The following is a 23,228-nucleotide window of genomic DNA, read 5'->3' as shown; positions in this document are numbered from 1 at the left end:
AGTAGAAATTACCTGGGGGGGATAACATGCACAAGAAAAAAATGAACAAAACGGAGGACAGCAAGTAAGTGTAGTATCTTCTTGGGAGGGATAGGAGTAGGGCAAGGCAATCAGGACCACACTACAAAGGGTCTTGAAAGTCATGTTAAGGAGATGAGATTCCACTCTAAAGGTGTTAAGAAGCCACTAAAAAATTTTAAGCAGATGTGTGATGTGATTCAAATGTTTTTAGAAACATGACTCAAGCTCTGAGAAAACAGAAAGGTGGTCATAATAACAACTTTCAAATAGAAATGGTGCCTCTACAGTAATTTCCCATGATAGATTTCACGCAACAAACCCATTATCTATATTTTTCTTAAAATCACTTCTTTGAAAGTGGCACAGGTCAAATGACATAGTATACTAAGACCTCAGTATTCTTAGATCTTAATTAGTCAGAGCTCTATGTTCTCATACTCTGCTGTTCCAGTTCTTTTTACATTAGTGACTTTCATTATACCAGGCATATGACAGAATAAAAAGGCTATAAAATCAAATATTATTAATACCTGTTATACAGAAGAGCAAAGCCTGATGTTAATAGATAAGAAGTTCACATTTAAAATAACTCATTTTTAGTCTTCACACAAGACCAGCATGCACCTGGGGTTACCTTCTGAATGCTTATTAATATTTGTAAAAGCATTTATTAAAACAGAAAATAAAACAGCATACAGTAGGAAATAAATGACAAAGGAGAACTTCTCAAAACACAGTTTGAAGTTACTTACCTGCTGCAAACTTTGTGATGGGTGGAAGTCTCACTGACATGGTATTCTGAAGTCCTTTACGTTTAACTCTCTTTTTATTTATTAATCCTAAGGATGGGGGAAAGGGGAACATACATAGCTATGAATCCTTCTTAATAAAAAGTGTATATAAAAGAAAAGCTATCAGTCTTGTAACTATAAAGTACAAGATATTCCCATTTAAGTCAGAAACAAAACAAAGATGTTATTACCACTGTTATTTTTTAATTCTAAGAAAAGTTATTTTAGATATTGTTAAAAATAATCTTAAAATTTATATACATGCATGAACAGTATAAGATAGTAACTTAAAAATTAGTAATCATAAAACCAAGTAAGATTTTGTTGTTTAATAAACAAAATCTTTCAAAGGCTGGAAACCATGAAAAGGGAAAGAGAATAAATGATTGCTTTAAAGCAAAAATATTGGATGCCACTTACTTTGATGCTTTCTCTAAGCTACCTTCCATTTTAAAAACTGTGCACTCTACAGATAGCTCAAGTGAGGCCATGAACATCTTTTGGGTGGCAGCAGTATGTTTTTACCACCCAAGATGTCTAACTTTTTTCAATAACCTTATAGCAGAACCTCAATCACTTCTATAGCAACTTTGATGCTAGGAATCTTACTACCTCTTCCATACATGTTTATCTAGTTCATCCAAGAAAAAATAAAATGCATTGATGAAACTTCCTCCAGTTGTTTCATAGAATGTTGAAATGTTTCTTTCGTGACCAGCTTATTTTGTCTTGTAGAGGACCTACCATGTCCCAAGCTCTTATTGAATTTTTCATGTACCGTGGAAAATGACTGAAGAGTTCCATCTTGACCTGTTGATATACACAGAAAATCCCTAATCAAGCTTCATTAAAACAAGGGACTATGTGAATCACAAATTTTATAAAATTCAATTTGAAAATCTTGAAGTTACAGTTTGGGACACTTTAAAGGGAAAACCAGATTGCAACTACTTCATTAAAATATTCAACTTTTTATAGAATGCCATTTAGTAAGAACAAAGGATAAAATGAAAATGAGGTACTAATAATTTTCAGCAGACTAACAGAATTTTTAGAATCTAACCATTCTGTCTCTGAGGATTAGTAAATAGAAGGACACATTAAGCATAGATAATAACATCTATAGTGCTTCTCAAGTAGACAAAAAGGACTCTTAGTTTTACCCAGACTTCTAAGTCACTCAAAGAGATATGTGAATCTAAGTATGTGTAAATATCAAACCTCATACTGGGCACCCACATCTCAATACTTGCTGAAATAAACTAATAGTATGAAGCAGAAGCTCACTTGCACTTAGAATCTGCTGTCCATTCTGTCCATAATATCTGATATTGGTAAGAGGAGCACTATGACCCATTCTGAATCTCAAAAGTCGGCCTTCACCTGTAGGACCATCAAATATCCATATCTGCCAAGAAATAAAAACGTCAGTTCTTCTACAATGTTCCATCTGATCTGCAAGCAGTCAAATCACCCCCTACATAAATCAACTGGTATTGAGTAGTGCTTGCTAAGCCACTGACTCTGGAGCTACAAGGGAGGGAGTGGGTATTGGGGGAGAAATAAACTGTAATTCTTTCCCGCTTCACTGCAATCATGTCACCTGCTGTGCTTTTTGTTTCATCTATACCAATATCTCATTCCATATTCCTTTCATCTTCTAGGTTGAAAGCTGATACATTAAAACAAGCTTGTAATAACCCAAAGGGTAAGTTAGATGAGCCAGGAAGATGTTAACAATAATCATAATACCCTAAGAGCATTGTCAGCGCCATTTGTGACAAGAAGTGGCTCTCTATGGAGAAATGTCAGTCCGGCAATTGCTGTAGAGTGTGCATTTCTCATTTGGTTGATTAATTTTTTGTCTTCTAGATCCCAGAGTCCAATATGGCCACATGGGCTTCCAGCTGCCATTACTGGATGACCATCTGTTATTAAAATAAAATACATTAAGAAAAATACTTCTAGATCCCCCAAAATAAACAAGAATTCTTCTCTCTTCCCTTTTAATCCATAAAGTTAGAAAAAAACTATATACCAATAATCTATTCATATTTCTTTGCCTTTTACTCCAGTATTCATTCACTTCTATTAGATTAAGCTACCAGAAGACAAAAAAAATTGACTTTTAAAGTAATGAATTTTAAGTGTTCTTAACTCCTATCAATAAGTATGTTAAAAGTTACCTGTGCGAAATGAAATTGAAGTAATGGGTCCCCAGTCTTGACGAAACTTCATTAATGTTTCATTAAATTTAATGTTGTGAATGATAACTTGACCTGACATAAGACCAATAGCAACAACATCCACGGCTGGTGCCTAAAAATTAAATTATTCAAACTTTTACTTTCTTAAGCAAAATAGCTTTAATAATCCTGATGATACGCATCATTATTAGGTGTTATCAAAAGAAATAATGAAGTATCTTCTAAAAGATGGCAGAAAAACTCAGCAAGTATTACCATTCAAGCATACTTTTTTATTCAGCATAGAAGTATTCAGTAATGATTTTTCCAAATTACTTCCCAGCTTCAATTCTGCCAGTCAACATCCCATCCTCATTCCCAAAACCTAGCTGGTAAGATTTTGGAAAGAAAACAACCACAACAGAAAAAGAAAGCTATGTATAAAATCACTACAGATCACTGGACTGGATGGAAACAGAAAAAGGAGACAACTAGAAAACATAAAGGCTTGCGCTATGTGTGGCAACATGTAACCAATTACAAAGGAAGTGAAGAATTGCTTATCCAAGAAAGTAGGAAAAACCTACAAAACATGTGAAAAGGCAAAAAAAGTTTTACAATTAGTCTGTTCCAGTTCTAATATTCTATGGTTATAATGGTCTATAATACAAGTCTTACATACAGGCTCTATTATGAATTTCTCTATTTTAGCAAAGATCAATGTCCAATATCATTATAGAATGGAATCAGGCTACACGTTTTATTAATTTGTCATCAAGTGTCTACTATGCATGAGACCCTGTGTAGAAATTGGAGATACTAAAACAGATATAATCCCTTGTCCTCAAGGGTCCTAATCCTCTGATACTTATGGAGTCTTCTGGATAGGCAAAAGTGGAGCTAGGCTGATGACAGCAAGAGAAGATAAGGAATACATATAAATTGGGCAAGTATAGACAATGGATACTGAAAAAGATAAGGGTATAGTGGCTACATATGTGGCCAATATAAACACAAGATTCGCTGTAGACATGCATTCATTTATTTATACATATTTTGCAGATTCATTAAAAAAAAGCAGTTATTTCTTAAATAGTCCATCATCGAATCAAACATTAGGATTTTGGCTCCAATTACTTCAAACCATAAATCTCAACATCTTGACAAATTTCTCTACATGACTTACAATACCGCTTGCATTGCTGAACACTCATTTCCAGTCTACACAAGACAATGGACTACATATACTTGCAAAATGATTAGAAACAAGGATCCATAGCAACCACAGATTTAAGTCAAACTATAAGCACAAAGGACTCCAATAAGTGTTATTGGCAAAGGCATTATTACTTGTTTTAACTTACATTTCCAAAACACTATTTCCTCAGGCTAACAATTTTAAAGGTAAACTAAGCTATATATTGTTTCGTCTTTACGTCTAAAATTATGATTGATTCCTGAAACTGAAGGATTTTCCTATTAACTTTGTTCCTCTTTGACTTAACAGAAAAATACTAACCTGCTGAAGAGCTGTCACTCCAACTTTCCATCCTGGAAATGTATATAGAAGTTTACTACAAGAAGAAAAATAGTTGAAAGCTGTATTTTTTTTTTTTTGGAGGAAAACAATATCAGCTACACATTAAAAAGTGAAATAATAATAGGTGATATTTATTAAGTTCTTACTCTTCCACACACTATTCTGATGATTAAGCTAATGTCACAAGGTTAGTAATATTGTCCAGACAAATTCTAGGTCTCAAACTAACTACTATGCTATGCCACCTCATTAAGAAATTAAATGTCCTAAGTGGAAAAAAAAATACGTGTGTAAAAATCATGTTATATTACAGGCTACAGTAAAAAAAATTTAGGACTGCAGTATCTTTATAGAAACATCATGAAAGGGAATAACTTATATTTTAATAAAAATATTATTTGCATGTTATATGACTGTTATATGACAACAGTAATGCTGCTCTCAATTTCAGAAGCAAGTCATGAATGATAAATAACACATCCATGGAGCAAACAGAGGTATCTGAAATCATTATAATTATCATTAAAATATTAAATCATGTATTAAATTCTGTAAATGGGCAAAGACAGTATTTCAGTCACTATTGCTGAACCTAGCACAAAGTAGGCAGTCAATGGTATTTGTTAAATTGTAATGAAACACTGATTTAAAACATCAAACCTTTAATAATCTTATTTTCCCTTTTGAATTTAAAAGGACTTTGGAAAAAAACAATTTGGATGGTCAAATATTTTTGTTTGCTTTTTAAAATGCTATACAAAGAAGTGTGAGCTGCCACCTTTTTCTACTGATAAATGTTTACATAATGGATAGAAGTATTCAAAATCATGTATCCAGCCCTCTAGCTACATCAATATTAGATATTTGCCATATCTATGGGAGATTATGGAAGTACTTTTAACCCTAAAAATCATTTCTAAATGCTAGCACTAAATTATTGATTTGCCTTTCCATCTTTTACCTTCTTCATGTATAGAAAATCTTCATGTATGGAAAATCAGAAGCTCCCTAGTAATAATCTCATTATTATTATTTTCTGATGGATCTCATAGACCTTTATTAGAGCCTTCTCTATAGCAATTCTTTACAGTTATTAGGTCATTAGTACATACTTTTCAGTGAGCATTTATGAAGCTGTCTAACATGTGTCAGGATCACATGCCACCTTTCACATATGTGATGCCACCAGCAACAACTCCAAAAGCAAACATATAGTTATATCTCACTACCTGTGGGGGATTGGTTCCAGGACTTCCCCAACTTCTCTGCTGATACCAAAATTCACAGATGCTCAAGTCCCTTACATAAAATGGTGTGGTATTTGCATATAACTTTCACACATTTATGCATATACTTTAAATAATCTCTAGCTTACTTATAAGACCTAATATAATGTAAATACTATGTAAATAGCTGTTATACTGTACTACTTTAAAATGTGATGTTTTATTGTTGTATTATTATTTATTTATTTTTCCTTGAATATTTTTGATCCCAGGTTAATTGACTCCTCTGATACAGGGGACCAACTGTTATTTATAGACAACCCTCCAAATAAATATACAAGGGCAGGGAGAAATGAGACTTAAGTATACATTAGGAAGTAGTAGATGAGGATAAGGTGACAGCTATATTATTTTCTAACTAAAATACTTACTTGGATTTTACATTCCACAACTGCAGGCTTCCTTGTTCACTGCCCAGAAGTATTTTATTCAAGTAGGTACTTGGATGCAAAATTGCAGAAATTTTAAATACTGATTTATCAAAAGTCAACTGCAGGTATTCTTCTACAAAAGTGAAAGTTATAAATATTTTTTATAAAATAGTTTAAAATGTTTTATGTAACCATATATTTATCACTTAAAGTAAGTCTATCACATCAAAGATTTATATGTTAAAATAAACCACAGACTTAGATACTAATCTATAAACATTCCTTGAGAAATAAAATAAATGAGAGGCAACTTGTAAATGTAATTTAATTTAGACTGTCAAAAATTTTCTGTAACTTCTAATAAAAATACTATTAAAAGTTTCATTCACTTTTGAATTACTTTACAGAAAAGGATAATAAAGTTAAAAAAAAAAGATCCTAAGGATTAGCATTCATGTTTCTGTAATTTGATCAACAGACAGGAGTGAATATTCCAAGTGAAGTGCTTATACTTAGCTCTTTCAGGGAACGAAGAGCCAATTATCTGGAAAGTTTGATGGGCCACTCAAAAAATGCCAAAAATAAAAGACACACCTCAGTGAAATAAGAGTACTTCTCACACATTTCCACAAAATAATCTCTAATAAAGGAGAAAAAAAAAACGTATAACCCTGTGGAGTGGGGGGTGGCATCACCAGTGGTCACTTGCTCCAAGATAAAAAAATTCTCTGAAATCTTTGGTTACATTCAAAATTTCTATGTTTGAATTCTGCTTTTCACTTTACAGTTCCTCCATGATTAAAACAATGTTCCACTCTATTTTCCAGTAAATTTGTGTATCAAAGAAGGTACATTTCACTTAATCTTTAGGTTCACATACTATCTGGCACACTACTGTACAATCCCAGGGTATGGGTACCACAGTTTAGGATGTACAGGTATAGGTGAAAATTATATAAACTTTACTTTGAATGCTATTTTAAGAGATCCTTGCCTTTATTCGTCAGTCACTACAAATGGCTCCCTGAATATACTGGTTCAAGAGAGTCTGCTGGAATGTAAGAACCAGATCCTGTAACCTAATAAAAGCCCTTTTAACTTCTATCTGCACAGGGAATACTTTTGGAATTCTGTTCCCTCCCTCTACTTGAGCAAAAACAAAACAAGAAAAGGGTTACTAATCTGAAACAAGAACCTGGAATAATTCCCAGAAATGCAATCTTCAGGATATTTACTGAAAAAAAAAAAAAAAAAAAAACAAAAAAAAAAACAAAAAAAAACCAAGAGGCAATATAAGCTAAAAATGTAACCAGATTAAAGAACTTAAAAGATTCAATTCATGATGAACCCAGTATTTTATTGAGGAAAGGTGTAGATATCCTAGGGATAAATTCTTCATGTTTAAAGATACATAATCCCATAAACATAGCCACTGTCTAAGCTATCACAGTTGAAAGAAACTGACTCATATCCCTAGGAAATGGATGTATATTTTCCTTCAGATTACAAGATCAAGTTTACTATTACAGTCTCCTTTACTAAAAGGTGAAAATACAAACCAAGAATTACTCAGGTATGAAAATACATCAATATTCACTCCACAGGGAAAACAATACAACAAATCATTAAAGTTGGAGAACTGCAATGGAAAATACATTAGTTGAGGTAAGCACATTAAACAGTTTATAAGTAGTTAACTTGCTAAAGTTGTTTATCTCTTTCTTACTTAGAACTTTTTTTCTTACACGTTAAAGATTTTTGATTTTTTTAATTTCTTACTATTTACAGGCAAAATCTCTGGCATAGATGTTTACATAGATTTTAAATTTTAATTAAACACATACTACCCTAAGATAAAGCAAATAAATGAGTTAACTCTTACCTTCTGAATATATGTGCCAAATAATAAGAATGCCATCAGTATCAACAGAGATAATGTGGTCTCCAAAGGGTTGCAAGAAATGGATTTCTGCCTTATGACCCTTAAAGGTATGTACTATCTAAAACATCGAAGTTTAAAAGAATTTCATATTATTACTCAGTCATCATGTCATATTATTCATATTATCCCAAAAACATGCTAATCCTGAGATGCTTCTGTTAAGAAATGTACCCCAACTTTTGATTATTCAAGGTTAGGATGAACACATAAATATTAAGGGACCAGGCATGTTCATCTGCTCCCTCAGCCAGTTCAACAATAAGGAAGTAAACTGTCCATTAAGAACAAAGAAATGAGACCTCTGAGGCTCTGCCTTCCATCTTGGGTTAGAGAGGAGGCATGCACACACACCTAGTTCCCTCACCCAATTCAATCAGTGCAACTACATATATCCTAGCGAGATGGTATATTCCAGAAGGCTGATCTCTAAAGACTCCATCACCAACTGGCTTTCAGATGAGATGGGAAAGGGGGATATAGGGTCTTCTTCCCCATACCCTTCTGCTTTGACAGAGATCCTTACAGTAGCTGATCCCTCCATAAGTATAGCCCCTTCTCCATGGTTTCAGTTCTCACTAGATTCCAGTAACACTGTTTCCTCTCCTTGGCCCTTTGGCCTTAGGGGTGGTAACAACTTCCTACAGTTGACAGTGTCTGACGCCTCCCCACCCCTATTTTGTTCCCCTAACCCTGACCACACCTGTGCATAAAGGTCCTTTATTAAAGTCTCCACATCTGAACCACATATAGGTTATACATATAGGATAAAGTCTCCTCATGTAAATCACATATATCTCCCTGGGAAAACTATAAACAACAATACAAAAATGAACATTTTTTCCAATTCTAAAAATCTGAACACCTTCCATTAAAGAACTCTACAGATAAGTTACCTTCCTCTGCCACAGGAAGTGATGATGAAAGACTGTGGGAACCACCTCACTCCAAGTCCCTGACAAGTACAGTGATACTATCATTTGGCTATCTTTGTACCCCCATTCCTACATTTCCTTTCATTCTAGACCATTAAGGCCAGGTCACTTCTCAAGCTAGTTGTTCCAGGACAAATTCAGAAACCAACTGGTAGATTTAGACCAGAAAAGATCTTTCCTTAGCAGTGGAGAAAACATAGAATCTAGCTTTCTCTAAACAGCGAACAGGCATCTGATTTTTAGAAAAAGAGTTATAAGCTAAGTTATACATAATAAATAACCAATCCACATAAAGTGGTGGTGCAAATATGAATTTTCTAGGAAAGTATTTTAAAACTACACTTAATAATACACATTATGTCCTATCTCAACAAATATACAAAATAGAAAACTCCTGAGATGGGAACTAACGGCATAAAAAATTTTGAAGAAGGTCTCCAAGTAATTTTGATATTCATCTCTGGCAAAGAAACTGAAGTAAAGCACCAGTTTTAAGTAAGCCTTTTCTGAAAATTTATCTTCCTCCAGAAAACTGAATATACATTAGAAAAAAAAGAATACTGTATAGTTCCAGAGTGTGCTGGGTAAAGAATGACAAAATTAAAGTTCCCTCCACTATCATGACAAACAAATACTGACTGACAAACAAGTAGTTTAGCGATACCAACCTCTTTATTACGGGCAAATGCAGAGAAAACATTTCCATAAGCAGCAAAGACTAATCTGCCATCAGCTGCCATACAGCAGATATCCTGTGGAACAGAATTACCTAGCAGAAAATACAAAATGAAAGAAACAGGGATTTTTAAGATGTTAAAGAGAAACCTCAAGTATACATATAACATTTTTCATGGCTATAATTTAAAAAAATATATAAATAAAGATCAAAGTTGAGAATCAGTGTATAAAATTTTAACTAAAATATTTTAGATATCTAATAGTAACTATCAAACTAAGGATAGGAAATCACCTTGTCCTTCCCTAAGAGAATGTCTAGGATTTGCAGAAATAAAAACATAATCCTAGAGAAATGAAAACAAGCTTTTTGAGGTTATTTGGAAAAAACTGTCATTTGAAACACAAAGCTCTGACAGATAGTCATCCAGTCTTCACGTGAACATCTTTTTTTTTTTCTTTTTTTTGAGAGACGGAGTCTTGCTGTGTCACTCAGGCTGGAGTGCAGTGATGCAATCTTGGCACACTGCAACATCCGCCTCCCAGGTTTAACTGATTCTCCTGCCTCAGCCTCCCAAGTAGCTGGGATTATAGGAGTGCACCACCACACCCGGCTAATTTTTGTATTTTTAGAAGAGACAGGGTTTTGCCATGTTAGACAGGCTGGTCTTGAACTCCTGACCTCAGGTGATCTGCCCACCTCGGCCTTCCAAAGTGCTGGGATTACAGGCGTGAGCCACATGCCTAACCCATGTGAGTATCTTCTGGAACATCAAGTTCACTAATAACTCCAGAAAAATTTTAAAAGTAACTCAAAATCTAAATCTCTAACTCTACCCTTTGGACCAACCCAAAAATATTACATATGGTATTCTATATGCCTATTCCTAAAACATTTAAAGACAATATTGTTTCTACAGTCTTCTCCAAGGGAAATATGCCTATCAATCTTTAGCATTTCTCACGTGACATATGATTCTTCTCTCAGTATCCTGGTCACACTGACCTTTTCATTTCCTCTTTTGGGGCAGGAGGGTTAGTAGACACAGGATTGTTGTACTTTTCATGCTGCAAATTCCATATTAGTATTTGTTTGCATAACCCTGTTTTATAAGTTTATCATTCACTTTTGTATTCAACTTAAGTTCCAATGCCTTTCTTCTGCCTTCTAATCTATTATTAAAATATAAGTTTAATACACATACACATTACAGTCCTTGTAGGTCTTCTGTTTCTCTCACAAGAACCATATTTGATGGTAAAACAAGTACCTCTCTGCCCTGAGAAATGTTTTATTCTATTAGATAGTTTAAAAAAAAACCCTTCCATTGGAAAGAAATACCAAAATGTGAGAAAAGGGAAAACTTCTCCTTACAGTAGAAGGAATGATGGCAAAAGAAAATCACTATAGGCTGACTATGCTTTATCTGAAATGTTTGAGACCAGAAGTGTTTCAGATTCCGGATTTTTTTGGATTTTGGACTATATGTATAACCAGGTGAATGTTCCTAATCTGAAAATCTGAAATCGGAAATGTTCCAATGAATATTTCCCTGTTAACGTCATGTTGGCTCTCAAAAAGTTTCAGACTTAGGAGCATTTTGGGTTTCAAATTTTTGGATTAAGGATAATCAACATGCATTTGGCAACCATCATACTAATAACTGATTCAGGCAAGTATCATCATAAAATATAAAAGCAGCAGGTAATAACTTTGAAGAGTACTAAGATATTTACATAGTCCCAGTGCATACTACCAAAAGATACTTATTCGTTACAAATGACAAAACACTAACTTAAAAATAGAGCCTCCTAACCAATCACTACCAGGAACAGAACCAACTAACAGCATGTGCCTTCTGATACAATTCACTGTGATTCCTCCCAAGGGGTACAACCTAAATCTAATCCTGAAGAAATGTCAAAAAAACTCAAACTGAAGGACATTCTAAATGAGCCTGTACTCTTCAAAAATGTCAATGTGTCAATGTCATGAAGCACAAAGAAAGTCTAAAGAACAGTTCCAGATTAAAGAAAATAAAGATACATAACAACTAAAAGCAAAACATGATTTATCCTGGCACCCTTTTTTGTTGCTGATAATGTAAGTTTATAAGACATACATGTTACCTTGGCTTCCTTATATGCTCTGTAAGTCTCACATTTATGTCAAAATAAAAAAAAAGTTTAGATGTGCATAAATTCAGAATAAAGTCCATACTTACTTACTGCAACCAGACTAAGTTTCTGAACCTGTTTAAAAAAGAAAAAAGGTTAAATTTTCATTAACAAACATAATCATAATAACCTAACACCTGAAGATTAAGATATAACCTCATACGTATATTTGCTATGCTGTCCTTCATAAGAAAGACACTTACTGACACTAATTTTCTTTATTAGGAAAGTTTATATTTTCAACTGTATTTCACCAGGAGTGGTGATGGAAGGGGTAGGCAAATGTTTTCTATAATGGGCCAAATATTAAATATTTTAGGCTTTGCAGGCAATGCATGTGGTCTCTGTTGCCAACTACTCACTTCTGCCACCGTAGCATGAAAACAGCCATACGTAATAGATAAATAATGTGCATGGGTATATTAAACTTTTATCTATAGATACTGAAATTTGATTTTCACATAGTTTTCATGTCATGAAATATCCTTCTCCCTACCCCCAGCCTGCCCCCACAAACATTTAAACATGTCAAAATCATTCGTAACTCCTGGGTCATACAAAAACAAACAGTGGGCTAGACTGGCTTACAGACTGTAATTTGCTGACCCCAATCATGGCTACTGATCCAGCTGTATGACCCTGGAAAAATAAGCTCCCTGTGCCTCAAATTCTTCATCTGTAAAACAGGTATTTATTTACTTTATGGGATTGTTATGAGGATTCAATGAGTAAATTTGTGTAAAACAGAATGGGGCCAGTCATATAGTAACTGCTCAATACATGATAGCTACTACCATCACTACCACCACCTATTCACAACTTGTCTAGTTTCCCCTGTAGAAGAAACTAATCTGTAGGACTGTAGGAAGTCTGACTGGGGACAGCATATATAGCCATAGTCATGGGATAGAGCACTTGTAGACCCAATTAGTGACTTAGGTTCATTAGCTCCTTTTTTTTTTCTTTTTACTCCCAAGTATTTTCAGTTTTAGAGGTCACAGCCCAATGCATTGGTTAATCTGAGCAGTGTACAGTCTGGGTAAAGAACATTTACATGCCATGATGTTACGAATGTATCATCAGTGTTAGAACTAGAGGAGAACTTAAAAGCCATCTTTATTATGACTAAATGTCAACACACAGTAAGTAAATTGTTAACTTTATAAAATGTACAAATATGTTACTCTCCTCACCACAGGGTTTCTTTGGAAGTAGAATATAGGGAAAAACACCTGTGTCTGTGTGTAATGCAGTGTCAGGAAAGACACTGTACCAAAGACAAGATTTCAAGAGTTATTTCAGTAATAAACTCAGAAAAATTACATTTCAAGGAAGAAAACATTAACCAGCAAAAGCAAAAGTTAGCAAGCAAGGAACAAGTGCAGAGAATGGTAACACTAAATACTTTCACATGATTAATATGGTTCTAACCCACCCTGTCTCCATTACCAGCTCAGACTCTGAGAAACCCAATTGCTCTTCACCTCAGCTCTGCCCTCACTTTCCTTTTCCACTAACTCAACTAGTTCCTACCTCCCAGCTCTTTTTGCTAATAAGCCATTTGATATTCACAATCCTCCAAGAGAGACAACTCTACCTGTTTTCCAGAAAAGAAAGTACTTAATTAACACTGACTATTATCATCCTCCTCATCAAGGTTTCTGTTCTCACAGAGGTTACATTCTTTCGGAGAAGACAAAAGAAACAAGTAAACAAGAGACACTATTACAATGATCGATGAACTGTTATAGGAGAAAAAATCATCACTAACAAGTGATTTATCTGAAATTTACTTTAATAGATTATATAAAGGTGCTACGGTATAATGACACCTATGTTGCAAAGAAACGGCTGCAAGGCTTAGAGTGACAGTGCCAGACACTTTGCGTTAGTTGAAAATAACTGATTGCTATTAGATATTTTCCCTAACGGTAATTAATCTCACCATCTCCGGTTCTCCCAATGTATTCTACCTAGAGTGAATTTCTAACTCAGCTCGTGTCACCAATAACGTAATAGCGTGCATGTTTTTCTCTCTCATTAAGAATGCAAGAGGTAGAGGTTTGTCTTAATTATGTTTCCACCTTCAAGGGAAGGTCAATAAATATTCACTGAACAAATATTACTGCCATACAACTGAGATGTTCTCTAGCAGTTTCCCCTTGGCCAGGCTGCCTCTGAAACACGCCCCAGGAGGACTGCAAGTGCCAAATCAGCACGTGGACGTGACCGGATGGCGAAATATTAATAGGACAGGGAGGGGTTAAAGAAGGGAAGCCCGTGGTAAATGGGAAGGGAGAACCGGACTGCTCCAGGACAGAGTTAGAGGCCAAGGAGGGTGGTTTTCCTGGGAAGCTAACAAAAGAAGTCACTCACGTCATAGGTGTGGAAACTCTTGCCCACGCAGGTTGTTACATAGAACCGGCGCTTGAGCGCGCTGAACCGCACCACGTGTGGAATGTCGTTGCTGAAAAGTCCCAAGGCCCGGAACCCCGCAAAAAGCGCGCTGGCCGTGCGCCTTTCTGAGGCCCGTTCCATTGCCGCCGCGATCCCAGCTCCTCTCAGCTCTGGTCCTGAAGGAAAACACGTACCCAGTCCCTTCAGCGTGTCTAGTGGAACAGTCCTCTGCCAGAGCTGCAGACACAACACCGCTTCCGGCGCCCGCTGCGAATCGCGTTTCCGGAGACTGCCCTCAGTGCAACACATAAAGTTCTCCCTCCAGAGCTCACATGGGAGGCGTGACTTGGGTTCCGAGGGCCAAGGTCTCCAGCACGTTGCCTAGCATTGTTCTCCAGCTCTTTTGCGGTGGAAGGAAGCTCGTTAGGTTCCGACAGAACCGCAAGGGCGGGAAACAAAGAGGGAAGCGCGACGCCCAGGAGAATGGAGGGGAGGTCGACGCCTTGGAGATGGAAACGATTTAAACATGTGATTATTTAAAAATGTACAAAAACATGAGACTGGAAAAATTTAAACACTGGATATCTGATGATATTAAGGAATTATGTTTCATTTTTACATATGATAGTAGCATTATGATTACGTTTTTAAAGATCCTCATCTTTTGGATACATATTGACATATTTACAGATGAAAACTATAATGGGACATTTCAAAACTGACAGAGGGATTCACTCACAGACCCTCTGGGGAGTAGAACTAATTACTTGTGGGGAGGGAACTGCTCACTTGGGCAACTTGGATAAGTGTAGATTCCTCCCAGAAAAGGAAGATAAATATTAAATGTTATTGGGATTCCTGGATTAAGTCAGTATTCCTTGAGGTCGGCTGTCAAAAGCAGACAGTAGAGGTTCTAAAGAGGAGCTTATCATAATGCAAACGGGAGTCCGGGCAGTTCATTAGAGCTGAGTGCCTTAGGATGCTGAAGGAGACTGATTCCAGTGAAGTGGGTGTCAAGACGCCTCACTCCTCAGGAGCCAGCTGCCTTACCAAGATGTAGGTTTGGGGAACAATCTCTGAGCATGTGAACATTAACTAAAACAGTGGTGAGCTTAGAGCCCAGGACCAAAGTTCAACATATGGAATAACCTCTTCTCTTACTGTTTTATTTCCATTTCATTTCGTTTATGAAAACGTTTTGGCAGCCTATTAAGGTTTGGGTCGAGTGACTAACGTAACTATACTAGTACTTGAGAGGGATAAAAAGGGTATATTTACTAATGTAAATGTACTTGAAAGAGATAAAGAGGGTCTGTCTCTACACAGATCAGTGTACTCTCTCGGGTTCCTTCCAGTTCTAAAATGTAATTATTATGAAACAAAAGTCACTTGTTAGCTAATTTGAATACCTGACTCATACATTCTTGAACAAAAAAAATCTTGATTTATTTTATAGTTCTTGGCACAAAGCCTCAAACACTTTGGATGTTAAGATCATTAAGGGGCAGATGCTAACAGAATGAGAGCTTGTTATTTAGTCCTTGACATGTTGTACTTACTTGTATTTTCATTTGTACCCCGGATTTCTCAATAGCAGTGCACATTTTCAGCCATGTTTTTGGTATGACTTAAAAGTGAACAAGTTGCTAATTATTTGTAAATGTTCTTTAAATTAAAAAAGAGGGGAGAGGGGAGGAGCCAAGATGGCCGAATAGGAACAGCTCCGGTCTACAGCTCCCAGCGTGAGCGACGCAGAAGACGGGTGATTTCTGCATTTCCATCTGAGGTACCGGGTTCATCTCAGTAGGGAGTGCCAGACAGTAGGCGCAGGTTAGTGGGTGCGCGCACCGTGCGCGAGCCGAAGCAGGGCGAGGCATTGCCTCACTTGGGAAGCACAAGGGGTCAGGGAGTTCCCTTTCCTAATCAAAGAAAGGGGTGATGGACGGCATCTGGAAAATTGGGTCACTCCCACCCCAATACTGCGCTTTTCCGACGGGCTTAAAAAACGGCACACCACGAGATTATATCCCGCACCTGGCTCGGAGGGTCCTACGCCCACGGAGTCTTGCTGATTGCTAGCACAGCAGTCTGAGATCAAACTGCAAGGCGGCAGCAAGGCTGGGGGAGGGGCGCCCACCATTGCCCAGGCTTGCTTAGGTAAACAAAGCAGCTGGAAGCTGGAACTGGGTGGAGTCCACCACAGCTCAAGGAGGCCTGCCTGCCTCTGTAGGCTCCACCTATGGCAGCAGGGCACAGACAAACAAAAAGACAGCAGTAACCTCTGCAGACTTAAATGTCCCTGTCTGACAGTTTTGAAGAGAGCAGTGGTTCTCCTAGTACGCAGCTGGAGATCTGAGAACGGGCAGACTGCCTCCTCAAGTGGGTCCCTGACCCCTGACCCCTGAGCAGCCTAACTGGGAGGCACCCCCAGCAGGGCACACTGACACCTCACACTGCAGGGTACTCCAACAGACCTGCAGCTGAGGGTCCTGTCTGTTAGAAGGAAAACTAACAAACAGAAAGGACATCCACACCAAAAACCCATCTGTACATCACCATCATCAAAGACCAAAAGTAGATAAAACCACAAAGATGGGGAAAAAACAGAACAGAAAAACTGGAAACTCTAAAAAGCAGAGTGCCTCTCTTCCTCCAAAGGAACGCAGCTTCTCACCAGCAACTGAACAAAGCTGGACGGAGAATGACTTTGATGAGCTGAGAGAAGAAGGCTTCAGACGATCAAATTACTATGAGCTACGGGAGGACATTCAAACCAAAGGCAAAGAAGTTGAAAACTTTGAAAAAAATTTAGAAGAATGTATAACTAGAATAACCAATACAGAGAAGTGCTTAAAGGAGCTGATGGAGCTGAAAACCAAGGCTTGAGAACTACGTGAAGAATGCAGAAGCCTCAGGAGCCGATGCCATCAACAGGAAGAAAGGGTATCAGCAATGGAAGATGAAATGAATGAAATGAAGTGAGAAGGGAAGTTTAGAGAAAAAAGAATAAAAAGAAACGAGCAAAGCCTCCAAGAAATATGGGACTATCTGAAAAGACCAAATCTACGTCTGATTGGTGTACCTGAAAGTGATGGGGAGAATGGAACCAAGTTGGAAAACACTGTGCAGGATATTATCCAGGAGAACTTCCCCAATCTAGCAAGGCAGGCCAACGTTCAGATTCAGGAAATACAGAGAATGCCACAAAGATACTCCTCGAGAAGAGAAACTCCAAGACACATAATTGTCAGATTCACCAAAGTTGAAATGAAGGAAGAAATGTTAAGGGCAGCCAGAGAGAAAGGTCGGGTTACCCTCAAAGGGAGGCCCATCAGACTAACAGCGGATCTCTCGGCAGAAACCCTGCAAGCCAGAAGAGTGGGGGCCAATATTCAACATTCTTAAAGGAAAGAATTTTCAACCCAGAATTTCATATCCAGCCAAACTAAGCTTCATAAGTGAAGGAGAAATAAAATACTTTACAGACAAGCAAATGCTCAGAGATTTTGTCACCACCAGGCCTGCCCTAAAAGAGCTCCTGAAGGAAGCGCTAAACATGGAAAGGAACAACCGGTACCAGCCACTGCAAAATCATGCCAAAATGTAAAGACCATCGAGACTAGGAAGAAACTGCATCAACTAACGAGCAAAATAACCAGCTAACATCATAATGACAGGATGAAATTCACACATAACAATATTAACTTTAAATGTAAATGGACTAAATGCTCCAATTAAAAGACACAGACTGGCAAATTGGATAAAGAGTCAAGACCCATCAGTGTGCTGTATTCAGGAAACCCATCTCATGTGCAGAGACACACATAGGCTCAACATAAAAGGATGGAGGAAGATCTACCAAGCAAATGGAAAACAAAAAAAGGCAGGGGTTGCAATCCTAGTCTCTGATAAAACAGACTTTAAACGAACAAAGATCAAAAGAGACAAAGAAGGCCATTACATAATGGTAAAGGGATCAATTCAACAAGAAGAGCTAACTATCCTAAATATATATGCACCCAATACAGGAGCACCCAGATTCATAAAGCAAGTCCTGAGTGACCTACAAAGAGACTTAGACTCCCACACAATAATAATGGGAGACTTTAACACCCCACTGTCAACATTAGACAGATCAACAAGACAGAAAGTCAACAAGGATACCCAGGAATTGAACTCAGCTCTGCACCAAGCGGACCTAATAGACATCTACAGAACTCTCCACCCCAAATCAACAGAATATACATTTTTTTTTCAGCACCACACCACACCTATTCCAAAATTGACCACATACTTGGAAGTAAAGCTCTCCTCAGCAAATGTAAAAGAACAGAAATTATAACAAACTATCTCTCAGACCACAGTGCAATCAAACTAGAACTCAGGATTAAGAATCTCACTCAAAACCGCTCAACTACATGGAAACTGAACAACCTGCTCCTGAATGACTACTGGGTACCTAACGAAATGAAGGCAGAAATAAAGATGTTCTTTGAAACCAACGAGAACAAAGACACAACATACCAGAATCTCTGGGAGGCATTCAAAGCAGTGTGTAGAGGGAAATTTATAGCACTAAATGCCCACAAGAGAAAGCAGGAAAGAGCTAAAATTGACACCCTAACATCACAATTAAAAGAACTAGAAAAGCAAGAGCAAACACATTCAAAAGCTAGCAGAAGGCAAGAAATAACTAAAATCAGAGCAGAACTGAAGGAAAGAGAGACACAAAAAACCCTTCAAAAAATTAATGAATCCAGGAGCTGGTTTTTTGAAAGGATCAACAAAATTGATAGACCACTCGCAAGACTAATAAAGAAAAAAAGAGAGAAGAATCAAATAGAGGCAATAAAAAATGATAAAGGGGTTATCACCACCGATCCCACAGAAATACAAACTACCATCAGAGAATACTACAAACACCTCTACACAAATAAACTAGAAAATCTAGAAGAAATGGATAAATTCCTTGACACATACACTCTCCCAAGACCAAACCAGGAAGAAGTTGAATCTCTGAATAGACCAATAACAGGATCTGAAATTGTGGCAATAATCAATAGCTTACCAACCAAAAAGAGTCCAGGACCAGATGGATTCACAGCCAAATTCTACCAGAGGTACAAGGAGGAACTGGTATCATTCCTTCTGAAACTATTCCAATCAATAGAAAAAGAGGGAATCCTCCCTAACTCATTTTATGAGGCCAGCATCATTCTGAAACCAAAGCCGGGCAGAGACATAACCAAGAAAGAGAATTTTAGACCAATATCCTTGATGAACATTGATGCAAAAATCCTCAATAAAATACTGGCAAAACGAATCCAGCAGCACATCAAAAAGCTTATCCACCATGATCAAGTGGGCTTCATCCCTGGGATGCAAGGCTGGTTCCATATAAGCAAATCAATAAATGTAATCCAGCATATAAACGGAGCCAAAGACAAAAACCACATGATTATCTCAATAGATGCAGAAAAGGCCTTTGACAAAATTAAACAACACTTCATGCTAAAAACTCTCAATAAATTAGGTATTGATGGGAGGTATTTCAAAATAATAAGAGCTATCTATGACAAACCCACAGCCAATATCATACTGAATGGGCACAAACTGGAAGCATTCCCTTTGAAAACTGGCACAAGACAGGGATGCCCTCTCTCACCACTCCCATTCAACATAGTGTTGGAAGTTCTGGCCAGGGCAATTAGGCAGGAGAAGGAAATAAAGGGTATTCAATTAGGAAAAGAGGAAGTCAAATTGTCTCTGTTTGCAGACGACATGATTGTATATCTAGAAAACCCCATCGTCTCAGCCCAAAATCTCCTTAAGCTGATAAGCAACTTCAGCAAAGTCTCAGGATACAATATCAATGTGCAAAAATCACAAGCATTCCTGTACACCAACAACAGACAAACAGAGAGCCAAATCATGAGTGAACTCCCATTCACAATGGCTTCAAAGAGAATAAAATACCTAGGAATCCAACTTACAAGGGATGTGAAGGACCTCTTCAAGGAGAACTACAAACCACTGCTGAAGGAAATAAAAGAGGATACAAACAAATGGAAGAACATTCCATGCTCATGGGTAGGAAGAATCAATATCGTGAAAATGGCCATACTGCCCAAGGTAATTTACAGGTTCAGTGCCATCCCCATCAAGCTACCAATGACTTTCTTCACAGAATTGGAAAAAACTACTTTAAAGTTCATATGGAACCAAAAAAGAGCCCGCATCGTCAAGTCAATCCTAAGCCAAAAGAACAAAGCTGGAGGCACCACACTACCTGACTTCAAACTATACTACAAGGCTACAGTAACCAAAATAGCATGGTACTGGTACCAAAACAGAGATATAGATCAATGGAACAGAACAGAGCCCTCAGAAATAATGCCGCATATCTACAACTATCTGATCTTTGACAAACCTGAGAAAAACAAGCAATGGGGAAAGGATTCCTTATTTAATAAATGGTGCTGGGAAAACTGGCTAGCCATATGTAGAAAGCTGAAACTGGATCCCTTCCTTACACCTTATACAAAAATCAATTCAAGATGGATTAAAGACTTAAACGTTAGACCTAAAACCATAAAAACCCTAGAAGAAAACCTAGGCATTACCATTCAGGACATAGGCATGGGCAAGGACTTCATGTCTAAAACACCAAAAGCAATGGCAACAAAACCCAAAATTGACAAATGGGATCTAATGAAACTAAAGAGCTTCTGCACAGCAAAAGAAACTACCATCAGAGTGAACAGGCAACCTACAAAATGGGAGAAAATTTTTGCAACCTACTCATCTGACAAAGGGCTAATATCCAGAATCTACAATGAACTCAAACAAATTTACAAGAAAAAAACAAACAACCCCATCAAAAAGTGGGCAAAGGACATGAACAGACACTTCTCAAAAGAAGACATTTATGCAGCCAAAAAACACATGAAAAAATGCTCACCATCACTGGCCATCAGAGAAATGCAAATCAAAACCACAATGAGATACCATCTCCCACCAGTTAGAATGGCAATCATTAAAAAGTCAGGAAACAACAGGTGCTGGAGAGGATGTGGAGAAATAGGAACACTTTTACACTGTTGGAGGGACTGTAAACTAGTTCAACCATTGCGGAAGACAGTATGGTGATTCCTCAGGGATCTAGAACTAGAAATACCATTTGACCCAGCCATCCCATTACTGGTTATATACCCAAAGGATTATAAATCATGCTGCTATAAAGACACATGCACACGTATGTTTATTGCGGCATTATTCACAATAGCAAAGACTTGGAACCAACCCAAATGTCCAACAATGATAGACTGCATTAAGAAAATGTGGCACATATACACCATGGAATACTATGCAACCATAAAAAATGATGAGTTCATGTCCTTTTTAGGGACATGGATGAAATTGGAAATCATCATTCTCAGTAAACTATCTCAAGAACAAAAAACCAAACACCGCATATTCTCACTCCTAGGTGGGAATTGAACAATGAGATCACATGGACACAGGAAGGGGAACATCACACTCTGGGGACTGTTGTGGATTGGGGGGAGGGGGGAGGGATAGCATTGGGAGATATACCTAATGCTAGATGACGAGTTAGTGGGTGCAGCGCACCAGCATGGCACATGTATACGTATGTAACTAACCTGCACAATGTGCACATGTACCCTAAAACTTAAAGTATAATAATAAAAAATAAAATATTAAAAAAAAGAGGGGAAAAGAGCATCTCACTGTACTATTAACTTCTTTATTAGGCTTATTTTATTTTAATAGTTTAGTGGGTAAGCTCCATAAAGGTAGAGAATTTTTTTTTTCTGTTTTGTTCATTAGTACATAACAAGCACCCAGAAAAGTGTCTGGAACAAAAGGGGTGCTTAATAAACATTTGTTTTTTTTTAAAAGCTACGTTTAAATACAAAAGTGCTAAAAATGTGGAATGTTCTCCCTTTATGTTAGTCTATTCCCTCCCAAAGTAATGAGTTGTGTACCCTGGCGTCTCCAATATTTAAACTCCCTCCTGTAAGAAGTTGTGTATCTCTGTCCTTTGCCCAAGACTTGTAGCAAATCCTTCATGGTGGAGCAGGAATAGGAAGCGTTTGACTTACTTTGGCCAGTGCATATGAGCAAACATGATGTTCAGCAAGTCTCAGCAGATGCTTGAAGAGTCATTGTCTGTTTCTACCAACTCTCTTGCTCTTTTCTGTTGCCAAAAGAGAAAGGCATGTCTCAAACTGGAGCTGCTTTTTCAGCCTGGGTCCTGAAATGAGGTCTGTAGACAAAGCCTGCAGCTGACTTGAGGTTGCCCGTTTGTAATGTGAGTGAGAATTAACTGTTGTTGCAAGCCAGTGAGACTTGGTGTTTTTTTGCCTTCTGATTACAACCTAGCGAAAGTCTATGTGAATTTTGGAGAAATGTGTGAAAATTAGCATGTAAAAATAAAAAAACATAGTTTGTTATACTTTATAGAAGTATTAAAGCTGTGTTACAGAAGGTGAGGACTGGGCCACAGGTTCACAAAGGACAAATATCCTCCAATATGATGTTAAGGTTTCCAAATTATTCATGTTCTTAGTTGTGTGTCCAAGGATGACACAGAATAAAGGCTCAGTGGATGTTTGATGATTGAATAAATGCAAGTTTAATTTTTTTTCATTTTGCATTTTTTGGGGAAAAGAAGGCGTAGGGTTGTTTAAAAAGAAACTGTGGGCCAGGCAAGGTAACTCATGCCTGTAATCCCAGCACTTTGGGAGGCCAAGGCGGGCAGATCATGAGGTCAGGAGATTGAGACCATCCTGGCTAACATGGTGAAACCCCATCTCTACTAAAAATACAAAAAACAATTAGCCAGGTGTGGTGGCATGTGCCTGTAGTCCCAGCTACTAGGGAGG

The 23,228-nt window shown here is 37.4% G+C and overlaps 1 protein-coding gene across 2 annotated transcripts in view, besides 1 other annotated feature; it reads right to left on the bottom strand.

The window, feature by feature from the left end:
* The window catches only part of WDR36 (WD repeat domain 36), a 38,155-nt gene extending 23,586 nt beyond the window's left edge, over positions 1-14,569 (bottom strand). For both annotated transcript variants that reach the window (NM_139281.3, XM_047416729.1), the window contains exons 1-11: positions 14,299-14,569; positions 11,970-11,997; positions 9,738-9,838; positions 8,078-8,195; positions 6,196-6,328; positions 4,518-4,572; positions 2,999-3,131; positions 2,565-2,740; positions 2,100-2,220; positions 1,557-1,622; positions 774-860 (exon numbers count right to left, since the gene is read on the bottom strand). In NM_139281.3, coding sequence (NP_644810.2) covers positions 774-860; positions 1,557-1,622; positions 2,100-2,220; positions 2,565-2,740; positions 2,999-3,131; positions 4,518-4,572; positions 6,196-6,328; positions 8,078-8,195; positions 9,738-9,838; positions 11,970-11,997; positions 14,299-14,460 — 1,180 coding nt within the window. In that variant the 5' untranslated portion in view covers positions 14,461-14,569. The remainder of the gene's footprint in view (positions 1-773; positions 861-1,556; positions 1,623-2,099; positions 2,221-2,564; positions 2,741-2,998; positions 3,132-4,517; positions 4,573-6,195; positions 6,329-8,077; positions 8,196-9,737; positions 9,839-11,969; positions 11,998-14,298) is intronic.
* Positions 14,280-14,719: an enhancer, noted in NCBI's record as "active region_22888". NCBI's record gives its function as "activates an Ori minimal core promoter by ATAC-STARR-seq in GM12878 lymphoblastoid cells {active_cell/tissue: GM12878}" and the evidence as "EXISTENCE:reporter gene assay evidence [ECO:0000049][PMID:35858748]".

Source organism: Homo sapiens, chromosome 5, assembly GCF_000001405.40.
Source record: "Homo sapiens chromosome 5, GRCh38.p14 Primary Assembly".
Classification (NCBI taxonomy): domain Eukaryota; kingdom Metazoa; phylum Chordata; class Mammalia; order Primates; family Hominidae; genus Homo; species Homo sapiens.
The sequence above is the reverse complement of the archived record's forward strand: the minus strand, read 5'-3'. Positions and strand labels throughout refer to the sequence as shown.